The sequence below is a fragment of the Homo sapiens genome, chromosome 9 (assembly GCF_000001405.40).
Source record: "Homo sapiens chromosome 9, GRCh38.p14 Primary Assembly".
In the NCBI taxonomy this organism is placed as follows: domain Eukaryota; kingdom Metazoa; phylum Chordata; class Mammalia; order Primates; family Hominidae; genus Homo; species Homo sapiens.
In genome coordinates this window covers 121801108-121826590 of record NC_000009.12, presented here as the reverse complement: position 1 = coordinate 121826590, position 25483 = coordinate 121801108, and the positions used below count along the sequence as shown (strand labels likewise).

The window sequence follows — 25483 nt, the reverse complement described above, 5'->3', positions numbered from 1 at the left end:
CCATATACATATATATATATATATATATATATACACACACATATATATATATACACACACACATATATATATATACATATATATATATACACACACATATATATATATACATATATATATATACACACATATATATATGGTTTTACCCATATATATGTAAAACCCATATATATAACCCATATATATAAACCCATATATATATACACCCACACACTCATATATATATGGGTTTTACCATATATATAACCCATATATATAAACCCATATATATATATAAACCCATATATATATATACACCCACACACTCATATATATATGGGTTTTACCCATATATATAACCCATATATATGTGCGTGTATATATATATGTGTGCATATATATATATATATATATATATATATATATAGGTTACTGGTTATATATATATATATATATATTCTACTTTGATAAAAAGTAGAATATATGTGCAAAAAGTTTGCATTGTATTTTTTTTCAAAGTAATACATGTGCCTGACTTCCAATTCAAATAGTAGTAAGGGGTTCATAATTAAAAGCATCTCCCCCTCCATCATCTCTTTCCACACACCAGAATTTCCCACTGCAGATGTTTAAATTGCATCCATGTTTACTGTAGAAAATCACAAAATGCAGACAAGCAGAAAGAAAGCCAAGGCAGCACAGTGAGATCCCACTTCTCGTTTTAGAATGTCTTCTAGATGATGTTGCTGTGCTTTTTTTTTTTTTCCAAATTGGCCCTCATTGTATGTTTTCTATGCATATAGCTCTAATCACATTCTACCATCAACTAAGGGAACGAAACTGACATTTGTTGAGTAAAGAGGTGCAGTGAGTGGCTAGATCCTTGCCATTCAAAGTGTGGCATCAGCACCACCAGGAAGCTTGCTAGAAATTCAGTGCCTTGGGCCCCACCCCAGGATTCGCATTTGAACAAGCTGGTGATTGGAGTGTGCATTACAGCTGGGAAGGGCTTTGCAGAGCAGAGTTACTCAAAGTTGCAACCCACAGATTGTCACAGTCCTGGACAAGACGCCTGAGCCAGAATGTAGACAGCACGCTGCTTCCTTTATAGAGGAAGACGTGCTATTATACTAAATACTGTCAACAGCACTAAACAATGTGATTGATGAGGACCATGATTAACATTCTGGCCCAAGCGCCTTATCTTGTCAGGGACCAGGGACACACAGTTCATGGGCTTGGCACTGTCAGCCAGCCACACTTTGAGTGGCGCTGTTTAGATCACACCGTTGGGAAGTAGGGGACTGGGACTGGGTTCCTCGGGCCTTAGATCCTAATCTTCTCACTCTGTGTGTATCTGACCCTCCCACCCGACCATCTCACACACACACACAGATGCACATACTTGCACGGGCACACGCCCACCCTATGAGAGGCCTGGCCCAGAGCTGGTGATTAGGAAACATCTGTCTCTTGAGTCAGACCAAGGCTCCTACTCCCCTGTGTCTTTGACCATCCCAGGCCGCTGTTTACATTAAAAGTAACCCTGGTGTAAAACCCATTTTATCAACTCCTCATATCAGGATCAAACAGAGCAGCGCCCTTGTAGGATGTCTGCAGTCAAAAGAACCCAAGGCCAAGAGCTCTGATGGACTATAAGGGAGGCAAAACACAACTTCTTTGCCCAGCTCAAGTTCCCAAGGCAAAAATAGCTCTGGGATCCCAGGGTCTGTATGTAACCTGTAATCTACAAACCCTAGGCCAGGCTGCTGCCCCCAGTGCCAGAAGCAGGTAAATAATGCACAGTCACCAGGAAGGTGTGGATTTCAGAGTTGACACCAGCCTAATCTAAAATGCCACGTGGTGTTCAGTCCAACCTTACTGTCACCTTTCCCGAAGAGCCCAGGGACTCCTATAGGTTTAGATCCCCGGGTTCCAGTTTTACTTGGACATTGGGAAGACTCAGACCCTTTCAGGCAGTTGAAACTTTTAACTAAGTTTTTAACAACTTAGTTAAAAAACATGGGAGTCAGTTTGAATTTCCAGGCCACTCTTCCCTGGCTGTGTGGCCTTAGGGAGGTTACTTAACCTCTCTATCAGTTTCTTTTTTTCTTTTCTTTTTTTTTTTTTTTTGAGATGGAGTCTCGCTCTGTCTGTCGCCAGGCTGGAGTGCAGTGGCGTGATCTTGGCTCACTGCAACCTCTGACTTCCTGGTTCAAGCGTTTCCCCCTGCCTCAGCCTCCTGAGTAGCTAGGATTACAGGCATGCACCACCACACCCAGCTAGTTTTGGTATTTTTAGTAGAGACAAGGTTTCACCACATTGGCCAGGATGGTCTCCATCTCCTGACCTCGTGATCCGCCCACCTCGGCCTCCCAAAGTGCTAGGATTACAGGTGTGAGCCACCGCACCCTGCCATCAGTTTCTTAATCTGTAAGATGGGGCATAATAATATTTACCTCATAAAGGTATTGTGAGAATTAGTGGCACTGTTGGTAAAGTACCTAGCGTCAATGCACCCATTCATTCATTCACTCATTCATCTATACTGAGCACCTCTGGGCAGCACGGGAAGCGCACAGTCCAGAGAGGAGGATGGAGACCACACAGACAGATAGACACAGAGCAAGTCGCAGCCGGTGCTGCAAAGAGAAGTGCAGGAATCCTGTACCGGGGCCGGGTCTAATCTGGGGATCAGGGAAGGTTTTACTGAGTCAGTGATTTTGAGCTCAGGTCCCAAAGATAAGTAGACGCTTATAAGACAAAACCAGGGAAGAGCATTCCAGGGGTGTCGTAGGGATGACTATTTATTCTTTCCAGAATATGGTTTGGGCCAGAGAAATGACAGTTGGGTTTATTTTACTTTGGGGGGTAAAATTTACAGACAGCAAAATGCATGAGCCTTAAGGCACAACTTGAGTTTTGACAAACGCACACACCCATGTAACCAGCATCTCTGTTATCAGATAGAACTTTGCCGTCAAACCGGGTTTATCTTCATATCTTCATAACCTTGTTCCCTGATTATAAAAGTTAAGAAGCTGGGTTTTTTTGTTTTTGTTTTCTGAGATGGAGTCTTACTCTGTCACCCAGGCTGGAGTACAGTGACACGATCTCAGCTCACTGCAACCTCTGCCTCCCAGGTTCAAATAATTCTCCTGCCTTAGCCTCCTGAGTAGCTGGGATTACAGGCATATGCCACCACGCCCAGTTAATTTTTGTACTTTTAGTAGAGATGAGGTTTCTCCATGTTGGCCAGGCTGGTCTCGAACTACTGACCTCAAGTGATCCACGCACCTCGGCCTCCCAAAGTGCTGGGATTATAGGCATGAGCCACTGCGCCCAGCCAGGAGCTGGGTTTTAATGGGGGCATTTCATTGTGGACATTTTACAAGGCTTTGAGCTAGGTTTAAATCTTATATAACTTTCCCCAGCTCTCTCCGTGTCTCTGAGACTCAACTTCCTCATCTGCAAAATAGGGTTAACCGAACTTCCTTCATAGGTCTGTGTGAGAGATTTGGTCTGCACATGGCCATAAAATGCCCAGCTAGTGCCTGGTGGGCACAGTGGGCACTCTGTGAGTGAGTTAGCCCTGTTAGGAGTTTCTGGAATGGAGACGGTGGTGGGGAGCGGGGCTAGCTCTTGCTGACATCCTTGTGGCTGGAGGTGGGCCTTCCCAGGGCAGCGTAGGGCAGCTGTGTGCACCCCCTCATCCAGTCTCTTTGTTCACAGGGATGTGTCTGCAGGCCTTCGTAGAAGCTTTCTTTTTCCTGGCTCAGAGGAAGTTCAAGATGCTGCCACTTCATGAGCAGGTGGCCTCACTGATTGACCTTTGCGAGTACCACCTGTCCCTGCTGGATGAAAAACGCCTGGTGTGTGGCCGGGGCGTCCCGTCGGGGGGCCGGCCCCCACACCGTGGCCCTCCCCAGGAGCCCTCCCCCTCGGCCCAGCCAGCAGGGGACAACCCCCCACCCCGCACCAGCTGTGCCAATAAGCTCTCCCATCCCAGACATACCCTGTCCTGAGGGCCACTCTGTCCTCCTGGAAAACGGAAGACGAGAGCAGCTTTCAGGGCTGGAGCGCCCCAGGCATTCTGCCTGCAGAGGAATGGCAGGCAGGCTGCCGAGGGGCCCAGCTGAGGTCCCCACGAACTGTCTCTGTGTGCGGCTGAGCTGTGCTTCACCAGGCTGGCTGGTTCTCACCTGCCTTCCTCCTCACACCTCCTGGTGATACACCCTGTTTCTGAGTCATCAGTCATCGGACATATGACATCTAAAACGTGACAGATGGCACCTTCTATTCTGGGCTCACAGGAAGCACCAACTGGGGCAAATCTGTTGTATTTGGGGCACAGGACACAATCGATCCCAAGGCCCGGAGCTGTGGAGAGGAAGCCGAGTGTTAGGATCTGCTGCCGGGGCCTCCACGCGCCCACCGGGAAAAGCCTGAGAACATCGTGTTTATTTCCTGCCGCCCGTTCCGAGAGAAGGAAGTGGAAATATCAAGTAGGCATCTGCGAATCTCCCATCCCAGTCATGTGCTACATGGGTGTAGTGAACAGATTAACCTCATTTAGTTCATTAGCTTGCCTGTTGCTGCAATATTTGGTTTGTTATTAATTAAGAAAAAATTAATTAAGAAGTAACTAAGACTCCTGGAGCCTCAGAGCTGGCAGGAGCCTCAGAGATCATTTTGTTTGATTTTGTTTGACTGTGACCCCAAAGCAGGAATCCCATCTTTAGCCTCCCTGACCAGATGGTCTGAGTGGACCCCTGCATAGGTGGGGTGCTGGTCATGTGGCCAGCGTGTCCACAACAAGCACTGCCAGGGGTCCCTGCATGCCCAGCACTGTGCTGGGAGCCCTGGGTGAGGGAAGGAAATCAGACATGGATAAGAACCAGAGCAAGAGGAGTAGTGTATGTCAGACCTGGTGCCAGGGTCAGGGGAGCTCACACTGTCTTCCATGAGACCCTTTCCTTGTCTCCATCTGTATCCCCAGGTAGCCCCCCTCTCGGAGGAAACGCCTCACAGGCAGCAGAAGGTGGCATTTTGGAAACAGCCTTGGGCATGCCAAGGTCCAGGGCCTATTGAAGACAGGCAGGCAGGACCTGGCAAAGCCAAGCTCTCCAGAGTGTGGTTGGATTTGGGGTTAATGTGGCCCTTTCCTGGAGGATCCCTTTAAAGGATGCTGAGGAACCTGGGAAGAGTCAGTCATCGTGCTCCAAGCGAGGTGCAGGAAAGTATTTGAGGCGCTAGTACTGTGCCTGGTGTGGTGCACTGTAGGACTCAGAAAATGCTCGTAGTGCGTGGCAAGGGAGGGTTCTGGGAGGCAGAGGTGCATCCCAAATAAGCTCCTGCAGCTTTCTCCTCCTTCCTTCCAACATCCTGTCCCTGACTCCTGACCCAAACTGATAAGAGCAGTTGACCTGGTTCATAACAGGTACTCAAAAGCATCTGTGGAAACAAGTTACTTGAATCCGCCCTCCCCAGATATTTTTAAACCCAAAGGCAAGATTGTTAATCCAAGATGTCTCCAATTGTTGGCAAGCGATTTCAGAGCAGGGGCTGCTCTGTTCATCCTTGCCTGGAGCTCCTTCCTGCCAGGAGTTCACCCTCTCAAAGAGGAAAACCTGTTTCCCCCACGGTGTGGCTGCCGCGCAGCACCCCTTCCCTGCTGCTAGCAGAGCCCAAAGGCCGCTGCCCTTCCCCAGCCTAGAGGGGCCGTGGAACTGAGCCCTGCAGAGCCCACTCTGGGGTGTTCAGTGAGTGACAGCAGACTTCTGCAATCACTTTATTTTCCCAAGCAGAAGGCAGGACAGGTGGGAAGGTGGCACTGGCAGGATGTGCCTCCTGAGGTGTGTCGAGTGTTCTCTACATGGGGCACTGTGGAGGTGTCATCGGCTCAGTTCCCCAGGTAGTAGGGCAGGTCTGTAATGCTGCTCCCCTTTCAGATGAGGAAAGGAAGGCCCAGGAGGCCATGTAGTCAGGACTTGGTCCAGGTGTGTCTGTCTTTGGCTCCTTGTCCCTGGGTGAGAATGAATTCAGCTCCAAGTAAAGACCCTGCAGCTACCCCGCTCGGGGCTGCCTGGGGTCCGTCATGGTCTGGTGGCATGGGACAAGGCAGTCAGGGCTCCTAAATGGTCCATTGTGAGAAACAATGTTTGAAGCCCCCATGCAGCTCTCCCAGTCCCCTTTGGCAGAACAAATGGATTTCCCAGAGAAAGACCAGAGTAAGCATGTCTGGGCACACTTGTCATCAGCTGGGAGCCACCAGAAGTCTTAACAAAGCTCTCACGTGACACCATTTCTTGAAGTTGGTCTTCAGAAAGTACTCGCTTGCCAAAGTGGAGCGCAATGTTCAGGTCTAAAACCAACCAAGCACATTGAATATTTTGAAAAATAAAATCAAGAGGTTGAATTCCAGCCACCTTGTTTGGGGTGATATGAAAACATCAGCTCTCCTGGTGAGGGCCTCTCCCACCCCATGCCATCATCTGGAGGCGGGCTGCTCCGCCCACCATGGCCCCTCTGTCCCGGGAGCAGCCCCCTCCTCTGCAGACAAGGCCCCGATAGCCCCACCCACCCGCAGGGCACAGAGCCTCCCTGCTGATTGTTAGGGAAATGAGGCTGTGGTTTTATGAGAGGCCAGTCCTGACAGATTGGCCCTTTTCAGTTTAACTGAAAGCATTTCGAGGCTGCTCCATTGTCAGAATGAGTGATAACTGAATCACCCCGCCTCCTCCATTCCTAATAAGAAGCACCACTGTGTTTACCCCTTTGGTAATCGGCCACTCGTTTTATTGGATGTAATTGAAACGATAGCAAAAGCAGATGGTTCCTTCCTCCGAGAAGATAGGAAGTAGAGCCGGGAGTCTGGCTGGCCCAGAGGCACGGCACACATAGCTGGGCAGCCCCTGTGCTTTGCTGCAGGATAAGCCCCATCCCTGCAAGCGCCCTCAGGATCCATCTCCAGCGTCTTCTCCCTCCCGCTCTCTTGCCCCTTCCCGCTCCTCCTGACGCCTGTCTCTCCCCACCCTCAATGCACACACAGTCCTCTCCCTAGTCTGCTGGCTGAGTTCCTGGAGAGCTGGGCACTCCGGGGGCTTGGAATGAACGGGTAAGAAGATCAAGCTCAGCCTGTGCTCAGTTTGGGGGGTTCACATCCAAGTATGACAAGTTAGTGGGACCAATCTGGGGAGGGAAGCATCAGGAGAACAGGACAGACCCACAGAACTGGGCCCACCTACCCTTTCTTTGGGTGTGCCCCGGGGCAGCCTCCTTGCTCCTGCCTTGCTGACACTGCCTGCTCCCTTCCTTCCAACCTCCTAGGGGGACGGGCTCAGCATTTCTGTTGTTAGGGGCGGGAGCTTTGTCCTCACGGCCTGGCCAAAATGGAGCCTGCAATAGGTGCTTATACTTATAAAGACCCGCTAGATTCAGTGCAGCTGTTAGCAAGTGCTGGTCCCAACAGACCCCTCCCAGTGGGCAGAGGCAGGGCCTCCAGGAGAGAGCAGCATCCATCCCTAAAACAAACCACCTGGCTTCCTCTTACTTCTCCTCCCAGCCTCTGTCCAGTCCCCCAAACTCGGACACGGTCTCTCGCCTGGGCTTCCGCTGCCTCCCTGCCTCTCACCCCTCCACCCTACCCTCCATCTCCATAGGTCTGGAAGGAACTTGGAGAGCCACAGAGCTGACGTCCAGTCACCTATTGAAAGCAGCCCTTATCGGCACCCTTCCCTTCTTTCCATCCTAAGGCCCGCACCTGACCCCTGCACCTCAGGACCAGGCTCTGCAGCCTCCCTGAGCCCCTGTCCGACCCCTGCTCCCAGGACTGTTTGTATCTGTTGTCATGAGACAGGAGGAGGATGTGCTATTTCCCACCACCCTTGTCTTGCTGGCCCCTCTGCCTGGAATGGCCTTCCTCTGCCCAGTGGCAAACAGACTTTCAAGGTTCAGTTCCAGTGTCCCCGCTGCAATCCCCCAAACAGAGTGAGCGGTTCCTTCCATCTACTTCCAAGAACTGGAAAGTTCCTGTCTTGTCGCGCGCACTGTGGGACCACAGCATTGGTTCCCACCCAGCTGTGCGTTCCTGCAGGGTCAGGCATGTGCTGGGTCCACGTTGGCACAGAGCAGGGGCCAGCAGGTGCTTGCTGTGAATAGGAACGTTTAGCAGAACCCGGGAGAGGAGACAGTGTTACCACACTTGCTCTCCACTTTGCCTGCGGGTGCCTTTAAGAAGCACAGATTTCTAAACCTTGCCAAGCCGATCCGCTGAACACCTCTACATTCCCGGCTGCCTTGTTGGCTCCCTGGGACACGGCAGCTGTCCTGTGTCCGTAAACAGATAATAGCTCCTCCGACTCTAGGTGTCTCTCCATGGCCCTTTGTGGCCAGGCCTGGGCTGCGTACCCATGGGCACCCCCTCCCATTCAATCTCACAGACAGGACACCAGGCTGGGCAGTCCTCACCAACACCCCTCCAGCCGGCTAGCCAGCCTCCTTTCAACTCTGCATTGCCCTGAGTTTGTGTGGGGTTGTTGAGTTCCCAGCAGGTCCTCCGGATGTGCATGTAGGTAGTCAGGGGAATGGAGTGGGAGGATAGGAGCCCAGACACTTGAAATGGTGTTCCATGCCTTTCTAGACCCCAGGCCCTTTCCTGCATGATTTTATCAGCACATGCTCAATCCTTCACAGTTTACAAAGCACTTCTAGATCCATCCAACCCACCAAGGATGAGGATCACTGGCACTCTGTTTTCCCAGGCAGGGAAGTGGCTTCCAGGAGGCTTAGTGACTGACCAAGGTCTCGAGGTCTCGTGCTGGTGAAGTGCAGAGCCAGGATCCACCTGAGCCCCCCGGCTGGCTCCAGATCCCACACTCCTTCCTCGGCACTTCCTCGGTTCTGCACGGTGCCTCAGCACTCCCCAAAACATCCCATTTTGCAGGTGTGGAAACCCACGTCCCGCAGAGGCTGGGTGTTTGCTCCACTCAGTTCTGGGGACTTAGCTTGAGGCTCTCTGATCTGTTCTCCTGCTGAGCACCCCAGGAAGGGCTCCAGGTCTCCCAGCCACTTAGTGAGAGTGGCAAGTCCTGTCTCACTTGATCTTTGGGAGCATAAGACGAGATCACAGAAAATGTCATCAATGTGAAAGTGTTTTGTAAACGAAGGCGCTGCTCAAACGTAGTGTTATCTTCAGCCTGGCTACTGGCTTCCTACAAAGTGTGAAGGGATGAAGGTAAAAGCTCTTTCTTGAATAATGTTATCCATCAAGACAGATGAAACCACACTGGTCAGCTCCTCCTGCCCTCCCCCCAACGCCCCACCTCCCCTTCATTCCCACATGTTTAAAGACATTCGTAGGCTGAGAAATGATTCCTGCTGCTCCTCTGACACCCGGAATGTGCCTTGTGATTGGCAGAGTGTCCCTCCAGAATAGCTTAATTTTTTCCCCATTTCTTGACTAATGTCCTCTACTCCTTGGCCCTGTAATTGAGAATTGGGCTTGCAATGGCCAGCACACGAGCATCTTCCCTGAAAGCTCAGAAATGATGGCTCTCCCGGCAGGGAGCTGGCATTCCCCATGGCTGAGAGCGCTGTCCTCCTCGCACGGAGGGATCATTCACCACCGTGTGTATTAACCTGAAATCCACCTCACCTTGATGGATATTTTTGCCAATCTCCCATTTGGTTTGATGAATGTGAGAGAAATTTTCCCCTATGGCATATGAATTTCTCCCTCACAAAATAAGTCTAAATTTTTTTCTGTTCCTGGAGATGAAGGAGCTCTGCAGAATAGGCCACGTCTTCATTTACCTTTATCTCTAGTAGCCAAAAGTCTTGATTTTTATATAACTGGAAAAACCACGCAGCATAATGCTTATACACACACGCGCGCATGCATGCACACACACGCACGCACACACGATGCACACGCATGCACACACGCACACATGCACACACACGCATGTGCGCGCACACACCACACATGCACACACGTACACAATGCACACATGCACACACGCACACACATGCACACACGCACACGCATGCACACACGTGCGCACGCACACACACACACTGAGCACCGTTGAGCTTTGGTAGAAAATGGCAAAATTACGATGTTTTTCTCATTTCTGGTGATTGGCTTCCGAGTGTTATTTAGAGAGCGGAGTGGAGAGGGCTCTTTGCAGCCCTGCGGTAGTGTCTTGTGCTCACCAAGAGGCTCACGGGAAACATGTCCTCCAACATGAAGGTGTTTGCTAAGATTCCAACCAGGACCCAGTCTTGGGCCACAGAACACTGACTGCTCCCCCAAGCCCCTCGCAGACCGCAGGGATATTTTCCCTTCAGAACCTGTTGCATCAGAATGGGGAAAGCGAGGGCTGAGAATCCCAGAGGAGGCCGTGAACTGTTCTGGAAAAGCGAGGGCTTTGCAGTCAGACCTTCATATGCACTTTGTTCTATCTGTTGCGCTCTGCCTAAATGACCACGGGCCAGTGACTTTACCTCTCTGATCCCTGCTCCTTGCCTAGATAGTGGGGATCACGTCGTAATGTATGTAAAGAACCGGGTGCGGGACTTGGCACCTGGGAAGTGTCTTAATACATGTCTGTCGAGAAAAGGAAGGGTCTCGACGTGCGGAAACAAGACGGATGCCAGGAAATACGTCTGCCCACCTCCACGCCCCTGACAGCGGAGGCTCCTGGAGGTCTGGTGAGAGGCCCCACGTGCTCCAGCCCCCTCCGCTCTGTGCTGAGCTCTGCCTTTAAGAGACTGCAGCTCCTGCCTCTAAAAAGCCTTTCAAAATTCTTTATTAAATTTTCATGGCGCATAAAGTCAAGGTTCTGTTACTTGGCCTCAGTTGTCTTGGCAACTTCATAAAACGCAATAATAAAACGAAGCTGAGTGTTGCTAAACACAGGCTCATTGTATAAACGACTGCGAAGTATTGACAGTTTGTTCTGCATGATAATTTTTGACAGCAAATCCACCGCGGTGGACAATACTTGTTCACTTGGGGTCAATTGTTGAGAAAAAAACACCTTTTAATTTTTTTTCTCCCTTAAAGCTTAGTATTTGCCTGGGAAGCTAAATATTGCCTCAAGGAAACTGTGAGATCCTGGGGGAGGTAGAGGGAGGGGTTTGGAAAATCTTTCAACCATTGATCTGCTGGGGACAGTTTCCCGTATGGAGGGAGGGATCTGTCCCTAGAGTTTGGTGAGAGACTCTGTGGCTGCCCTGGGAGACAGGATGGCCCCCTTGCAGCTCCCTGTGTGCAAGAGGGGCCACAGTGCTCGGCTTGGGCTAGACCGGTGAGCATTGCATGTTTCACCCTCACGGGGGAAGCCAGAGGCAGGTGCCTCCCTAGAGAACTAAACCATTCATCCTGCACCAAAGAGGTGATTCCTGGGGCTGCTGGTCCAGCTGGTGGCTCTGTCCCTCGGAACGGAGGCCCTGCCCCCTCCTATCACCCCCTCCTCCCCTTCTACCCTTGGGGAGCAGCATATATCTGCTCTGAATATTTAAGAATATTTGGCAAGTGGAAAGCAGATGGCCTTGAGTTAAAAATAAAGTGAGACCCCAGCTCCCTGGAAATCCCCTCACCCATTGGCGTCAGAGAAATGTTCATTTCACGCAGCCCCCCACGCCCAGGGAGGCCACTTTGGCAGGCCCTGTTCCCGCGGGTAACCCCTGTGGCCCTCTGGATCCCAGTTCACCTTTTGATGACCCATTCAGATTCTGCACATTCCTCAGATGTACCAGCACCTCCGTCCCAGGCTCCTGTGTCACAGGTCACGGCTCTGCAGTGTGGCAGAGCTGTTGTGCCACTCTGCTGGAGAACCCCGGGTTTGCCTGCCCGAGGCCCTGCAGCCTGGAGGGGAGGCAGCTAGGGCAGCATGAGAGCTTAGGGCTGGCTTGGGCCAGGTATGTCTTTGGGGGATCGAGTGGGGACTGTGGAGGCCACAAGGGCCCTTTCACGCTGCTGCCCGCCCCCCAGGATCCCCTCAGGGCTCAGACCCCACCTCTGTCTTTAACCCAGGCAACTGCGGCTTTCCCATTCTGACGTGACGGGCTTTACAATAAGGTTGTATCCGCAGCTGCTGACGCCTGCCTTTCAATATTACGCATGAGGCAAGGGAAGCCCAGAGAGGGGAGGGGTCTTGCCCCAAATACCCAGCAAGTTAGGACATGAATTAAGGCCTCTTCAGTGAAGGAACCTGTTTTGCCCTGTGTGATCAGAGGGATGGGGCAGAAGCCAACACCACCCTCAGCCCATCACCTCGCCAAATACCTACAGAAGGGAACCCAAGAGAGCCTCTGGCCCAGGGGTTTTCAAGCTAGATCCCATGAAACCTTAGAGCAGCTCAGCTAGCTGTTTTATATATTGGGGCTGCATGTAAGGAAAAAGCTTCAAATGCCATCATCACTTCCAATTTTTTACTTGTGGGGTAAATCCAGGCTTTCACAAAGCTGGGGGCCCAGGAGAAGTAACTCATCCAAGGTCACCTGAGTCCAGCTGGGACCCCCAGCCCTGCCCTGGAGTGTATGTCATACTGGCACCGGTGCTCAGGTGCTGGGCTGGCTCACACTGGGGCCCAGGGAGGAGCTGTGAACCCCCTCCGGAGATTGGCTTGGTGTCTTAATCCATTTGTGCTGCTATAACGAAGTACTGTAGACTGGGCAGTGGATAAACAACAGAAATTTTATTTCTCCCAGTTCTGGAGCCTGTGAGTCCAAGATCACAATCCCTGCACGGTTGGGTCCTGGTGAGGGTTCTCTTCCAGGCTTGCAGACCGGTTGTATCCTTACACAGTAGGAAGAGAGTGACAGCTCTCTAGGGTCTCTTTTCCCAGGGCACTATTCCTATTCACAAGGGCTCCGCCCTCACGACCTAATCACTTCCCAAAAGCCCCACCTCCCTAAATGGGGCTAGGATTTCATCAGATGAATTTGGGAGGGACACAGACATCTAGTCCATCGCCTGGCTTCTCTCGCCCCTGGTAGAACGGTTGTTGGAAGCCTCCGAGGCCTGCCCTGGGCTCACCTGTCACTGGGCGCTAATCATCAGATACCCAGGGTGGATGACGGGATCCACTGAAGAATTTCCACCGTCACAGCTCCTCACCCACCACTTAAATAAACCTGCTTTGAGCTATTTCCAGAGCCAGCGGCGGGGGGTTGGGGGGTGGGTGGCATCAGTGGGTCACTGGATCCATCACCAGCTATCCTGGGAGGAGACTGACCCGCAGAGATTGACAGGTCAGAAGTCTGAGAGCATGTCCCAGAGAGGCCAGCTACAAGCAGCCATTTATTTGAAGCCATTTGTTTTAGCTTTAAAAGTCCTGTAAATACTGCATTCTGCTCTATATGACATCCGCATATTAGCCAGGCTAGGTTAGGCTACCCTGAAAAGATAAACCCACAGGGCTCCGTGGCTTAACACAGCGGAAGTTTATTTCTTGAGAATTCAAAGGTTCACGTGGGTCTGCTGGCTCTTAGGATGCCTCTTCGCAGACAGGCTCTGGTCTTTCTCCTCAACCACGCCTCCCAGTTGCTTCTGGCAAGATGAGGGGACAGGAGGGGTCCTCAGGGGATGTTGTTCAGGGAGGGGCTGACTCCACCGCCTCCCACAAGCCCTTGGCCAGAACGCAGTCCCATGACCCCGACAGAAGTGCTGGGACAATGGGACGTGCCCCCTTCCTGGGCACCCAAACAGACAAAAATAAAATGGGATTTGGCGGACACATAGTATTGTTTTTGCCACAATTCCTATTTGTTTCAATAAAAGAACGTTTTTCTCTCCTTCAATCTTCACATAAAATGGCTGCGCCAAGGAAATGACTGTGGTTCTCTCCCAGCCGCCACAGTGCCCCCGCCCCCATCACCTTCTCTCCGTTGAGTTGGAGCAGATGGAGGTCACGTGGATCTCCTGACTCCAGAGCCACAGGGGAGCTAGGGGGTATCTTGTGCCATCCCACCAAGAAAGCCAATCCTAGGCTGTGTGGCCTGGGTGCCGCTCAGCTCCAAACTCCACGGGCAGTTTCCCCATCACCTGGAAAACTGAGTCCAAAGCCAACTGACATTTTCCCTTGAGGGGGTAGGGGCTGAAGGTCCCAGAAAGAGTGCCGACCCTTCCCAGGCCGGAGCAGAGCACTGAGACCACGCTCCGGGGGCCATGTGGCCTAGAGAGGGGGCTCTGGCCAAGTCCTCTCCAGCTACCCTGCGTTCATGAGCCGGGCTCCCCTGCTGCTTGCTGAGGAGGGCAGGCCTTGTGCAAAGCCAAGGATTCACAGGCAGTGAACCCTGTGACATCGGGCTGCTCCTGTAGCTGCTGGAAGTTGTGTCACAATTAACATAGACAATGGGGGTAGGGAAATGTAAAGCACCTTCTCAATTCATGGCTAGGGTCTCTCACACACAAGGCCAAGACTCATGCAGGGCACATTATGGCGTTAGTTCATTTAATCTGAGAAACAGGCTCGAGTGGTTACTCCTATTATCACCTTGCTTTACAGTAGAGGAAGCTGAGGTTCAAAGCTGAGGTGCAGTGGCATGCCCAAGGTGGCGCAGGTTGTCCGTGCCCAGGCGGGTTTTGGATTTTGGCCTCACAGAGCCCGCTCTCCAAACAGCTGTGCTGTGCCACGGTGTTGAAGGCCCCCTTGCAGCAGCAGGCTGCTCTGCAGAGGGAATGGGCGCCGGCCACATGTGGAAGTGGAGGCTCTGGGGGAGATCTTGAATAGCAACCTGTCTGCAAAGCTTTGAACTCAAAGTCCTGGAGGAAACGCCCCAACTCAGTGAGGTTCACACAGCAGGCAGGCCTCAGGGTCGCCCAAGAGGATCCAGCCTTTGTGAGCTGTTGCGCTTGGCAGCAAGGTGACAGCAGAAGGGACATAGAGAGCAACACTGAGATCACTGAGATGGCCTCCATCTCTGGGGTAAATGGGCCAGGCAATGAGCGAGGGGAGGCTTGTGGGGAAAAAGGTGACCGTGTGCTGAGGACCAGCTTCGTCCCAGGCGCCAGCGTCACCGCAGCCATCATGGAGAGGCAGGTGGCATTGCCCCCCTTATACAGCTGAGGAAACAGGTTTGGAGAAGTTAGGCGCCTTGCCCGAGGCCACAGAAGGCCACCCTGCCCAGGCCACATGGCCACCGTAGAAGCTCTGAGGCCAGGGCAGGTGCAGAGCCCCACAGAATGGAGAAGGAAGCAGCTGGCCACATGACTGCAGGTCAGAAAGTCCCTTGGCTGCAACCACCTGGGGCCACCGACTTGCAAGCAAATGACATCCAGAGGGGCCGCCCCAAAGCCTGGACTCCCGACCCCATGGTTGGAAGAGAGGCTGCCCGGGCAGCGCCAGGCTTCAGCTTGGTCCAGAAAGGCCACTCTTGTTAGCTCTTTCTCTGCACTCACAGGCTGCATGCGACCTGGTGCCTGACAGGTGGGGAGGGGACAAAAGACTTATTAAGAGAGGGGCCTTCAGTGCAGGGGCAAAGAGCTCTCTGCTTCAGGGCCAGCCAGAAAATGTTCACTCCCATTCCGTATTCTTTTTATCTTTTAAAAATTGAGACGGGGTCTCACCATATTGCCCAGGCTGTTCTCGAACTCCTGGGCTCAAGCAATCCTCCTGCCCTGGCCTCCCAAGGTACTGAGATTACAGGCGTAAGCCACCGCGCCTGGCCAGGGTCTCCATTTTATAATGATGTCATGGCATGCCATTATACGATGTACTCTAGTTATGTATAATATTGTAGTTAATTGGTCCCCAGTTAAGTAACATTTAGATTGTTTCTAGTTTTCTGTTATTACAAAAAAAGTGTTGCAAGGACTCTTCCTGGTACATGCATTTATGTGCATGTACAATGTGTACTAGAACTGGAATCAATGGGTCAAAGGGTGCATGTATTTAAAGTTGCAATCAATATTGCTGTTATATTGCACTCCAAATAAGTTGCACCACCTTTTGGCCCCACCAGATGTGTGAGAGGGCCAGTGCTCTGTGATTCTCGCCCTCCCCAGCACAGCGTATTGTGAAAATGCCAACTTTTACCTGTTGATAAATAAAAAAACATGGCAGCATCTCATCACAGATTGAATTTTCTTTTCTTTTTTTTTTTTTTTTTTTCGAGATGGAGTCTCTCTCTGTCACCCAGGCTGGAGTGCAATGGCGCGATCTCGGCTCACTGCAACCTCTGCCTCCTGAGTTCAAGCGATTCTCCTGCCTCAGCCTCCCGAGTAGCCGGGACTACAGGCACGTGCCAGCACGCCCGGCTAATTTTTTTTTGTATTTTTAGTAGAGACAGAGTTTCACCGTGTTGGCCAGGATGGTCTCGATCTCCTGACCTTGTGATCCGCCTGCCTCGGCCTCCCAATGTGCTGGGATTACAGGCATGAGCCACCGCGCCTGGCCTGAATTTTCATTTCTTATATTATGAATGCAGTTGAGCCTCTTTCTTCACCCATTCTTCTACTGGTCCTTTTCTTGTTGATTTGTAGCATCTTTGCAGATGAAAAGAATTAGCCTTTTGCCATCGTTTTTAAAAACATGTATTCTACATGGGCCATTTTCTGGTGGCCAACTGTCTCTCCACCTGCAGCCCGTTCTCCACAGGCTGCCAGAGTAGCCTTTCTGGGATGCCAAACTGATCGTGTCACCCCCACACAGATAGAAAACAGCTTCCCGTCACCGGGGTTCAGCTCGACTCCTCACCTGGTTTGGGGGGTCTTTTCCATTTGGGGCCCAGCCTCCTCCCTCCCCCACCAACAAGACCAACCTCCCTCCCCAACCAACAGGACCACCACATGCAGCCGTGAAGGCTGCACTCTGCACAGAGGACAGGGACACACGGATAACCTGAGTTGCGCCCCTACAGGGACCCACCAGGCAGCCCTGCCCAGCTCTTGTGAACTCCTTCATGGCTCCTCTCTCTTTTCGCCACTCCCCAGATGCCCCTTGCTCTGTCATCTGGCCAGCACTGCATCCGGGTCCTTCTTCTGCCCGTAATGCCCCTCCCCATGTGGGCTTGTTGGTGTACACCACCTCCGCTCTTGCAAGTGGTTCCCCCACCCCTTGGTGTGTCTCTTTAAGCCACTTCATGGTGACTCTCTACCAGGCACACCCCAGAAAGGGCTGTGCCCCCTCATATCTGGATCCCACCCCAGCCAGGGCCTGGCGCAGAAGGGGCCCTCAGGACCTGCATGTAGGAGGAATAAGGGAGGGAGGGACCGAAGGCCCCACTGATGGCCGAGCTCAGCCAGCACAGCAGAGCGGGGAAGGCCTCAGCCTAATTTAAAGTCACGCATTTACCCAATAGGCTGCTCTTTCATATAAATATCCATTAAACACTTTGTAAAATGCAAATTTGAAAAAATGCAGCTGACCTGCCCTTCCCAGGTAATTATGGCACGCCTCTCGAGTCTGCAGTGGAGACCTTTTTATTTGGAAGGTCTAGCGCGCTTTTCAGATTATCAATTGAGGCCTTTCCAGAGAGCAGGTTCCCTGCCCGCCCCTGACCCCTCACAGAGGGGCATCCTAGGAGGACCTTGGTGGGCACCAACACCTCTGCCATCAGGATCTCCCAGGGGCTCAGGGCCCCAGGACCCTGGTGTGGGCACAACCAGATGTGGCCCCTGCCTGCCCAGAGCCAAAGGGCCAGGGAAACTTGCTGATGGACAGGCAGGGCTCAACTACCAGCAGAGGGAAGGGCCAGGACCTGGGGCAGGGGGAGGCTGGCAGGAGAAGAGCCAGGCCCCACAGGCCCCGTTGCAAATTTTCTCTTTGCCATTGGAGAGTGCACAGAAGATGACACTATTGGGTTTGTGTTTTTAAAGGTAACCAAGCTTACAATTTGGATGGGGCAAGCGAGGACATGGAGGGGTGGGCTGGGAGTGGGTGCAGGGCTCCAGGCGGGAGGGCTGGCAGCTCCAACTTGGCATGGCCCTGGAGATGAAGGGCACACACTCAAGGGGTTTTAAGCAGGCCAGGTTGACAGCACTTCTCACAGTGGCTGTTCAATTGCCATCTCACCTCCCTGCTGGATTGAAACTCCCTGAGGGCAGAGCCTAGTCATTTGTGTTGGAAGCTGCATCAGTGCATCTAGAACATGGCTCAGCACACAAAAGGTGGAGTGTTCTGGGAATGAATGAATGACAGGTGAGAGGGAATAATGGATGGATGGATGGATGGATGGATGGATGGATGGATGGATGGATGGATTTAACAGATGGGGAAACTGATGCTGTGGGTGGGGTAGGGGGAGGTGAGTCGCCCAGGTGGGACATCATGTTCCCAGTGCACAGCAGACTCAGCAGTAGGGCCAGGAGGGAGGCTCTGGGGTAGTGTGGAATCCCCGGCTCCTCCGCCCTTGCTCACGCACACCTGTTTTCATAACTTGTCATTACCCCACAAACCCACAGGCAGGAGCGCTGTCCCAATAAATAAATCTGGGCCACTTTTCAGCATCGTTTAACGTCCCCAGGAAGGCTGGGTCACGTGGCGTCCAGCCGCAGGCCATTAGCTGACAGGCTGAAGCATATCATATTGAATTCCACGGCCCGCAGAGCCCGCGAGCCCCCGTGCTGCTCTGAAATCTGTGCGGATTTCTCAGAATGCAATTGTGCTGCTTATTTCCTATAATGAACATGTTGCCCCCTCCCCTTGCCAGGACTATTTTCTCAAACCTCCAGGGAGACAGGAGTGGGAGGATCTTGAGCTTACTCCCTGCTGCAGCTTGAGAGGTGCCCGGTGCTGTGGGCTGTACTTTGGTGCAATTTGCAGAGATGGTCTCAAGTCATTGTACTGTCTTCCAGCCTCTACCCCTGTCGTCTGCCCTGTGTCTCCCTGCCACCCTGCCCCTGTCCTCCCGTCCCCTGTCCCTTGCCCCACCACGCTGCCCCCTGCTATGGCAGGGCTATAGATGGGCCAGCCAGGAGGGACTCAACCCCGGAAGCCCACAGCCTGGCCACATTGCAGCCAGCTGACTCTGCCGCACCTCCTGGAAGACACAGGCCTTGGCTTCTGCCTACTGCGGGTGACACACCACACCTACCACGCCTCTTCACAAACTTAAATGGGACAGATGCCCACGCTGGTATACAAACCACACCTTGACAGAACCACATGCAGAAACACATCCGTACATACCCACTCGCATCCCAAGGTAGAGGCTATGCCTTCCCACACCAACTCACAACACCTTAATCACAGCTAGCATACCTGATACACATTCACACACACATCCATACACATACCCCCTCACACATATCCGCACATACACTCAGGCACATATACACACACACAAACACCCCCACACAAGCACACATCCACACACATATCCACACACACACCCTCACACACATCCACACGTACACTCACATCCACACACCCACACACAAGCATACACACAAAGAGTACACACATACACATATACACACATCCACACACACACCCTCACACACATCCACACACACACCCTCACACACATCCACCTATACATTTATACACATATCCACATCCACATACCCATACAAACATACACACACAAAGCACACACACACACATCCACATATACACACATCCACACAAACACCCACACACAAGCACACACACAAGCACACACATCCACATATACACACACTCTCACACACATCCACAATTCATTCATACACATATACCCCCACACACACAGAGCACACACACACCTAAACACCCACACACAAGTACACCTACACACACAAACACACACATCCACATACACATCCACACACACACACAATCCACATGGACACTGATATCCACACACCCACACACACAAAGAGCACACACATACACATATACACACATCCACACAAACACCCACACACAAGCACACACACATACAGCACATGCGCATCCACATATGCACACACATCCCCACACACAGAAACCCTCACACATCCACATATACACATCCACACACACATCCCCCCTCACACATGTACACACATACACTCATATGTATATACACACAAATCCACACACACACATCCACACACATAAACACCCACACACACACATATACTCATACACATGCACATACATCCACACACATTTCTACATGCATTTTGAATTTCCAAGCAGCAGGTAAGCTTTTTTCAATGCAAAGCTTTTTATGCTTATTTTATTCTATTACAATTTTATATATAATTCAATCTACTTTTGGCCTCTCATCTTTTCTCTTTATTTCTAATTGACACAATAATTAATAATATTTATACAGTCTGATATTTCCACAGGTGTATAATGTAATAATCAAATCAGGGAAATTTACACAGCCATCATCTCCAACGTTTATCATTTCTTTGTGTTGGGAGCACACAAAATCCTCTCTTCTAGCTATTTGAAAATATAGAATAAATACTTGTTAACTATATAAATTACTGTCGACTGTGGTCACCCTGTTATGCTATCAAATATTAGGCCTTATTCATTCTTTCTAACTATATTTTTGTACCCATTAATTATCCCCACTTGCCCCGTCCACCCTCACCCTCAACACCCTTCCCAGCCTCTGGTAACCGTCATTCTACTTTTTATCTTCATGAGTTCAACTGTTTTAACTCTTAGCTCCCACAAATGAGTGAGAACATGCAAAGTTTGTCTTTCCGTGCCTGGCTTATTTCATCTAGCATAATGACCTCCAGTTCCATCCATGACATCCAGTCACCCTACAGTGAGCACTAGAACTCATTCCTCCTATCTAGCTGTAATTTTGTATTTGTCAACCATCCTCTCCCTATCCTCCCTTCCTCCTCCCCTGCCCAGGCTCTGGTTACCACTATTCAACTTTCTATCTCTATGATATCAATTTATTTAGCTTCCACATATGAGTGAGAACACACATTACTACTATTTGTCTTTCTGTGCCTGGTTTATTTCACTTAATGTAACTTCCTCCAGGTTCATCTGTGTTGCCAAAAATTATAGGATTTCATTTTTTTATGGCCGAATGGTGTTCCATTGTATATATGTATATGTATATATGTGTGTGTGTGTGTGTATATATATATACACACACCATATTTTCCTTATCCATTCATCTGTTGATGAGATTTCTAAGCAGCAGGTAAGCTCTTGTTATTAATTCCCACTTTCATTGCTCTGTGGTTAAGAAATATGGCCTTTCCTTTATTGAGCTTACCACAGGCCAAGCATCATGTTAGGTGATAATTATACTAGGTTGAATAAAATTTGAGCCCCACAGCCTAATAACAGAGAGCATAAATAAATCTACATTTACAATCCCAGGAATATAAGGATGGTTCAACATATGTAAATCAATGTAATATATTGTATCTTCAGAATGAAGGACAAAAACCATATAATCATTTCAATTGATGCTGAGAAATCATTTAATAAATTCAACATCCTTTCATGATAAAAACTCTCAAAAAACTGGGAACATACTCCAACACAATAGAAGTCATATATGACAGACCCACAGCTAGTATCATACTGAATGAGGAAAAACTGAAAGCCTTTCCTGTAAGATCTGGAACAAGACAAGGATGTCCACTGTCACCATTGTTATTCAACATAGCACTGGAAATCCTAGCCAGAGCAATAAGACAAGAGAAAGAAATAAAGAGCATCCAAACTGGAAAGGAAAAAGTCACATTATCCTTGTTTACAGATTATATGATTGTATATTTGAAAAAAACTAAGCAGTTCAAAAAACTATTAGAACTGATAAACAAATTCAGTAACATTGCAGGATACAAAATCAACATACAAAAATAAGTAGCATTTCTGTATGTCAACAGAACAGCCTCATAAAGAAATCAAGAAAGCAATCCCATTTACAACAGCTACAAATCAAAGAAAATACCACCAGTAATCCGATTTACAATGGCTACAAATCAAATAAAATACCATCAGAGAAATACAAATCAAAACTGCAATGATATATAATCTCACCCCAGTTTAAATGGCCTTCATCCAAAAGACAGGAAATAACAAATGCTGGCAAGGATGTGGAGAGAAAAGGGAACCCTCATACACTGTTGGTAGGAATGTAAATTAGTACAACCAGTATGGAGAACAGTAAGGAGGGTCCTCAGAAAGCTAAAAGTAGAACTATCATACGATGCAGCAATCCCACTGCTGGGTACGTACCCAAAAGAAAGGAAACAGGTATATCAAAGCAATATCTGCCCTCCCATGTTTATTGCAACATGGCTATTCACAATAGCCAGGATTTGGAATCAATCTAAGTGCCCATCAGCAGATGAATGGATAAAGAAAATGTGGTACATACACACAATGGAATACTATTCAGCCATAAAAAAGAATGAGATCCTGTCATTTGCAACAACATTGATGGAACTGGAGGTCATTATGTTAAATGAAATAAGCCAGGCACGGAAAGACAAACTTTGCATGTTCTCACTCATTTGTGGGAGCTAAGAGTTAAAACAGTTGAACTCATGAAGATAAAAAGTAGAATGACGATTAGCAGAGGCTGGGAAGGGTGTTGAGGGTGAGGGTGGACGGGGCAAGTGGGGATAATTAATGGGTACAAAAATATAGTTAGAAAGAATGAATAAGACCTAATATTTGATAGCGTAACAGGGTGACCACAGTTGACAGTAACTTTTTGTACATTTAAAAATAACTAGGCCTGGTGCAGTGGCTCACACCTGTAATCCTAGCACTTGGGGAGGCCGAGGTAGATGGATCACCTGAGGTCAGGAGTTCGAGATCAGCCTGGCCAACATGGTGAAACCCTGTCTCTACTAAAAATACTAAAATTAGCCGGGCGTGGTGGCATGTGCCTGTACTCCTAGCTACTCAGGAGGCTGAGGCAGAAGAATCTCTGGAAGCTGGGAGGCAAAAGCTGCAGTGAACCGAGATTGCGCCACTGCACTCCTGGGTGACAGAGCAGGATTCCGTCTTAAAACAAAACAAAACAAAACAAAACAAAACAAAACAAAAGACCCTAAACTAAAAGAGTATAATTGGAATGTTTGTAACACAAATAAGTGAGAAATGCTTGAAGTGATGGATACCCACCACCCCCAAAAAAAGTTTGCGATGCAATGTGACATGCAGTGGCAGAGGGAACCCCAGCCCCTATATGTTCTTTAACAAATCTCATATATTTTTCTCTATTTAGGTTGATTCCTTTTGTGTTTCTATTACCTAAACATTCCTGGACCAAAAAATATAGATATTTGTTATTTTTATTTGCTTTTCTTGAATTATTACCATGAATGAGATATTCCCATTTATTTATTGTCCCTTTAATTTCCAATTATTTCTCTTTTGCCTTATTCTTGGATGCTTCAAGCCGATGTTCTAGAATGGATCACTGATTTGACTTTTCAGCACACACATTCTGTTGTCCACCATCAGCAATGACATTCTTTCCTTCCAAGTTCTTGTTTTCAGCCCGTTCCTTTCTCCTAGCAGCACACTCCTGTTTATTGAGGAAACATCACTTGAACCACTCCAGCATTTATTTAAGACCCATTAAGAGGGTTCTGCATCTCCGACATGCTCTGATGGGGAGCAAAGCAAGACTCACCATTGCCCTGTGTTGCAGGTTAGCGGGCTCATCTATTCCTGTAGGGTGCCCTGCTCGGTGCAGGGAGCAGGGAGCAGCCCCACCTCTCCCTCCTGTGGGTTGCTTTCTCCTCTGATGAGCATTTGCAGGTTCTTCCTGATTTGCCTGATGCAGGAGCTTGCTTCCCGGGGGTGCCTGTTAAACTTCAGATTCCATGGAATTGGAGGTACAGATGCAAACCCATGATTTGTAGAATGTGTATATGCACTTTTGTGTGCACGTGGATGTGTATATGCACATATATGTATTTATTTCCTAGTTCTGTCTGCTGACAAGGTCAAGAAGAAAAGCCATTCTACTAGCTCGCAGATCTTGGTTCTTAATACCATTACCCAGGGTTTCTCGGAGAAATGACTAATTTGAGAGCTTGGGCAGGGTAGGTACATTGTGAGCCTGGGACGTTTTGTTACACCAGAAAATAAGGAATGATCAAAAGCACTTTTGGGGGAAATGTCAGCAGCTTAAAGGGGCTGCCGGTGGCAAAATCTAGGACTATTTGAGCACCAAAATAATAAAGTAATGAAATATAAACCCTTAAAAATGGAAATTTCTGAATCTATACCAATAGTAAATAGATTTATCAATATGTGGGGGAGAAGGAGGACCTATGCTGACGAGAGAATTCTGAGAGTCAACCGGCGAAGTGGAGAGATTGTTAGAGTTGGAAAATCATCTTTTGCAACTATCCTAGTAAAGATGGGATCAATTAAGAATCATTCATGGTTGCTAAATCTAGGGGAACATTCTGATGAGGAACAGAATGTTTTCATGGTCTCAAAGTGTCTCCCCACAGACTGCTTATTAGTTGCAAAGAAGATCAAAAAACTCCAGTAATTATACAGTGAAGAAATTGGACAACGCCTTGATCGAGTGATCAAAATTAACATCACCAAGGAAGGACAGATGGCTGTCTTGTGCCTCCAGATGTGCTCCTCTGAGAAGGACTCAATACGCTCTATGCAGGATTTTGGCTAAGAATGAAGAACCAAAAACTAGTCCCAAGGAAACATCAGACAAATGCTTTTCTATTTTTGAAAAAGGTGGGTGTGCTTGGTCGTATTCTTCTCAAATGTCAATGCCATAAAAGATCACAAAAGGCTATGAAAATGTTCCAGATTAAAAGAGGCTAAAGAGATATGACAGCTAACTGCAGCCCCTGCCCCTAGGCTGCCTCCTGTACTACAGGGGAAAATTACTGAAAAAGGACATTATTGGTTCGACTCAGAAAATTGGAATGTGAATGTTGAGAGTAGATAAAAATGTATACCAATGTTAAATTGACTGAAGTTGATTATGTAAGAGAATATTCCTAATCTTAGTGAAAATATACTACTGAAGTGTTTAGGTTAGATAAAGGGCTATGATGTATGTAACTTAACTTCAGGCAGTTCAGAAAATAAATTGTGTGTGTATGTGTGTGCATGTGTGTGCGGAAAGAGGGAGACTGAGAATGATAAAGCTAAGGGGGTAAAAATATTAATAGATTACAGGTAAAAGGCACACGGTATTCCTGGTACCATTGATTTTAGCAACTTAGCTGTAAGTCAGAAATGATTTCCAAAGCAAAAGGCTTTTTAAAAACTTCTAGGCTGGGCGTGGTGGCTCACGCCTGTAATCCCAGCATTTTGGGAGGCTAAGGCGGGTGGATCATGAGGTCAGGAGTTCGAGACCAGCCTGGCCAACACGGTGAAACCCCGTCTCTACTAAAAATACAAAAATTAGCCAGGTGTGGTGGCAGGTGCCTGTAATTCCAGCTACTCGAGAGGCTGAGGCAGGAGAATTGCTTGAACCTGGGAGGCGGAGGTTGCAGTGAGCTGAGATCATGCCACTGCACTCAAGCCTGGGCGACAGAGTGAGACTCTGTCTCAAAAAAATAAAATAAATCTGTTTCCAGGGATTTTAAATT

The 25483-nt window shown here is 49.2% G+C and overlaps 1 protein-coding gene and 1 long non-coding RNA gene across 5 annotated transcripts in view, besides 2 other annotated features; one reads left to right on the top strand and one right to left on the bottom strand.

Annotated features, from left to right (window-relative positions):
- TTLL11 (tubulin tyrosine ligase like 11) overlaps positions 1 to 10917 on the top strand; it is a 277635-nt gene extending 266718 nt beyond the window's left edge. For 3 of the 4 annotated variants that reach the window (XM_047422825.1, NM_001139442.2, NM_001386833.1), the window contains one exon: positions 3712 to 10917. In XM_047422825.1, coding sequence (XP_047278781.1) covers positions 3712 to 4004 — 293 coding nt within the window. In that variant the 3' untranslated portion in view covers positions 4005 to 10917. The remainder of the gene's footprint in view (positions 1 to 3711) is intronic. The other variant, XR_001746188.2, reaches the window with a different exon arrangement.
- Positions 9249 to 10045: an enhancer, noted in NCBI's record as "NANOG-H3K27ac-H3K4me1 hESC enhancer chr9:124578825-124579621 (GRCh37/hg19 assembly coordinates)". NCBI's record gives its function as "activates a minimal SCP1, AML or CMV promoter by ChIP-STARR-seq in naive H9 embryonic stem cells {active_cell/tissue: H9 hESC(naive)}" and the evidence as "EXISTENCE:reporter gene assay evidence [ECO:0000049][PMID:30033119]".
- A 2491-nt stretch (positions 10918 to 13408) lies between the features above and the next one.
- LOC107987125 (uncharacterized) lies at positions 13409 to 13955 on the bottom strand. Its single transcript, XR_007061756.1, has 2 exons — positions 13866 to 13955; positions 13409 to 13537 (listed from the first exon to the last, which is right to left on the bottom strand). It is a non-coding gene; the product is annotated as an uncharacterized LOC107987125 (long non-coding RNA).
- Positions 14774 to 15293: an enhancer, noted in NCBI's record as "H3K4me1 hESC enhancer chr9:124573577-124574096 (GRCh37/hg19 assembly coordinates)". NCBI's record gives its function as "activates a minimal SCP1, AML or CMV promoter by ChIP-STARR-seq in primed H9 embryonic stem cells {active_cell/tissue: H9 hESC(primed)}" and the evidence as "EXISTENCE:reporter gene assay evidence [ECO:0000049][PMID:30033119]".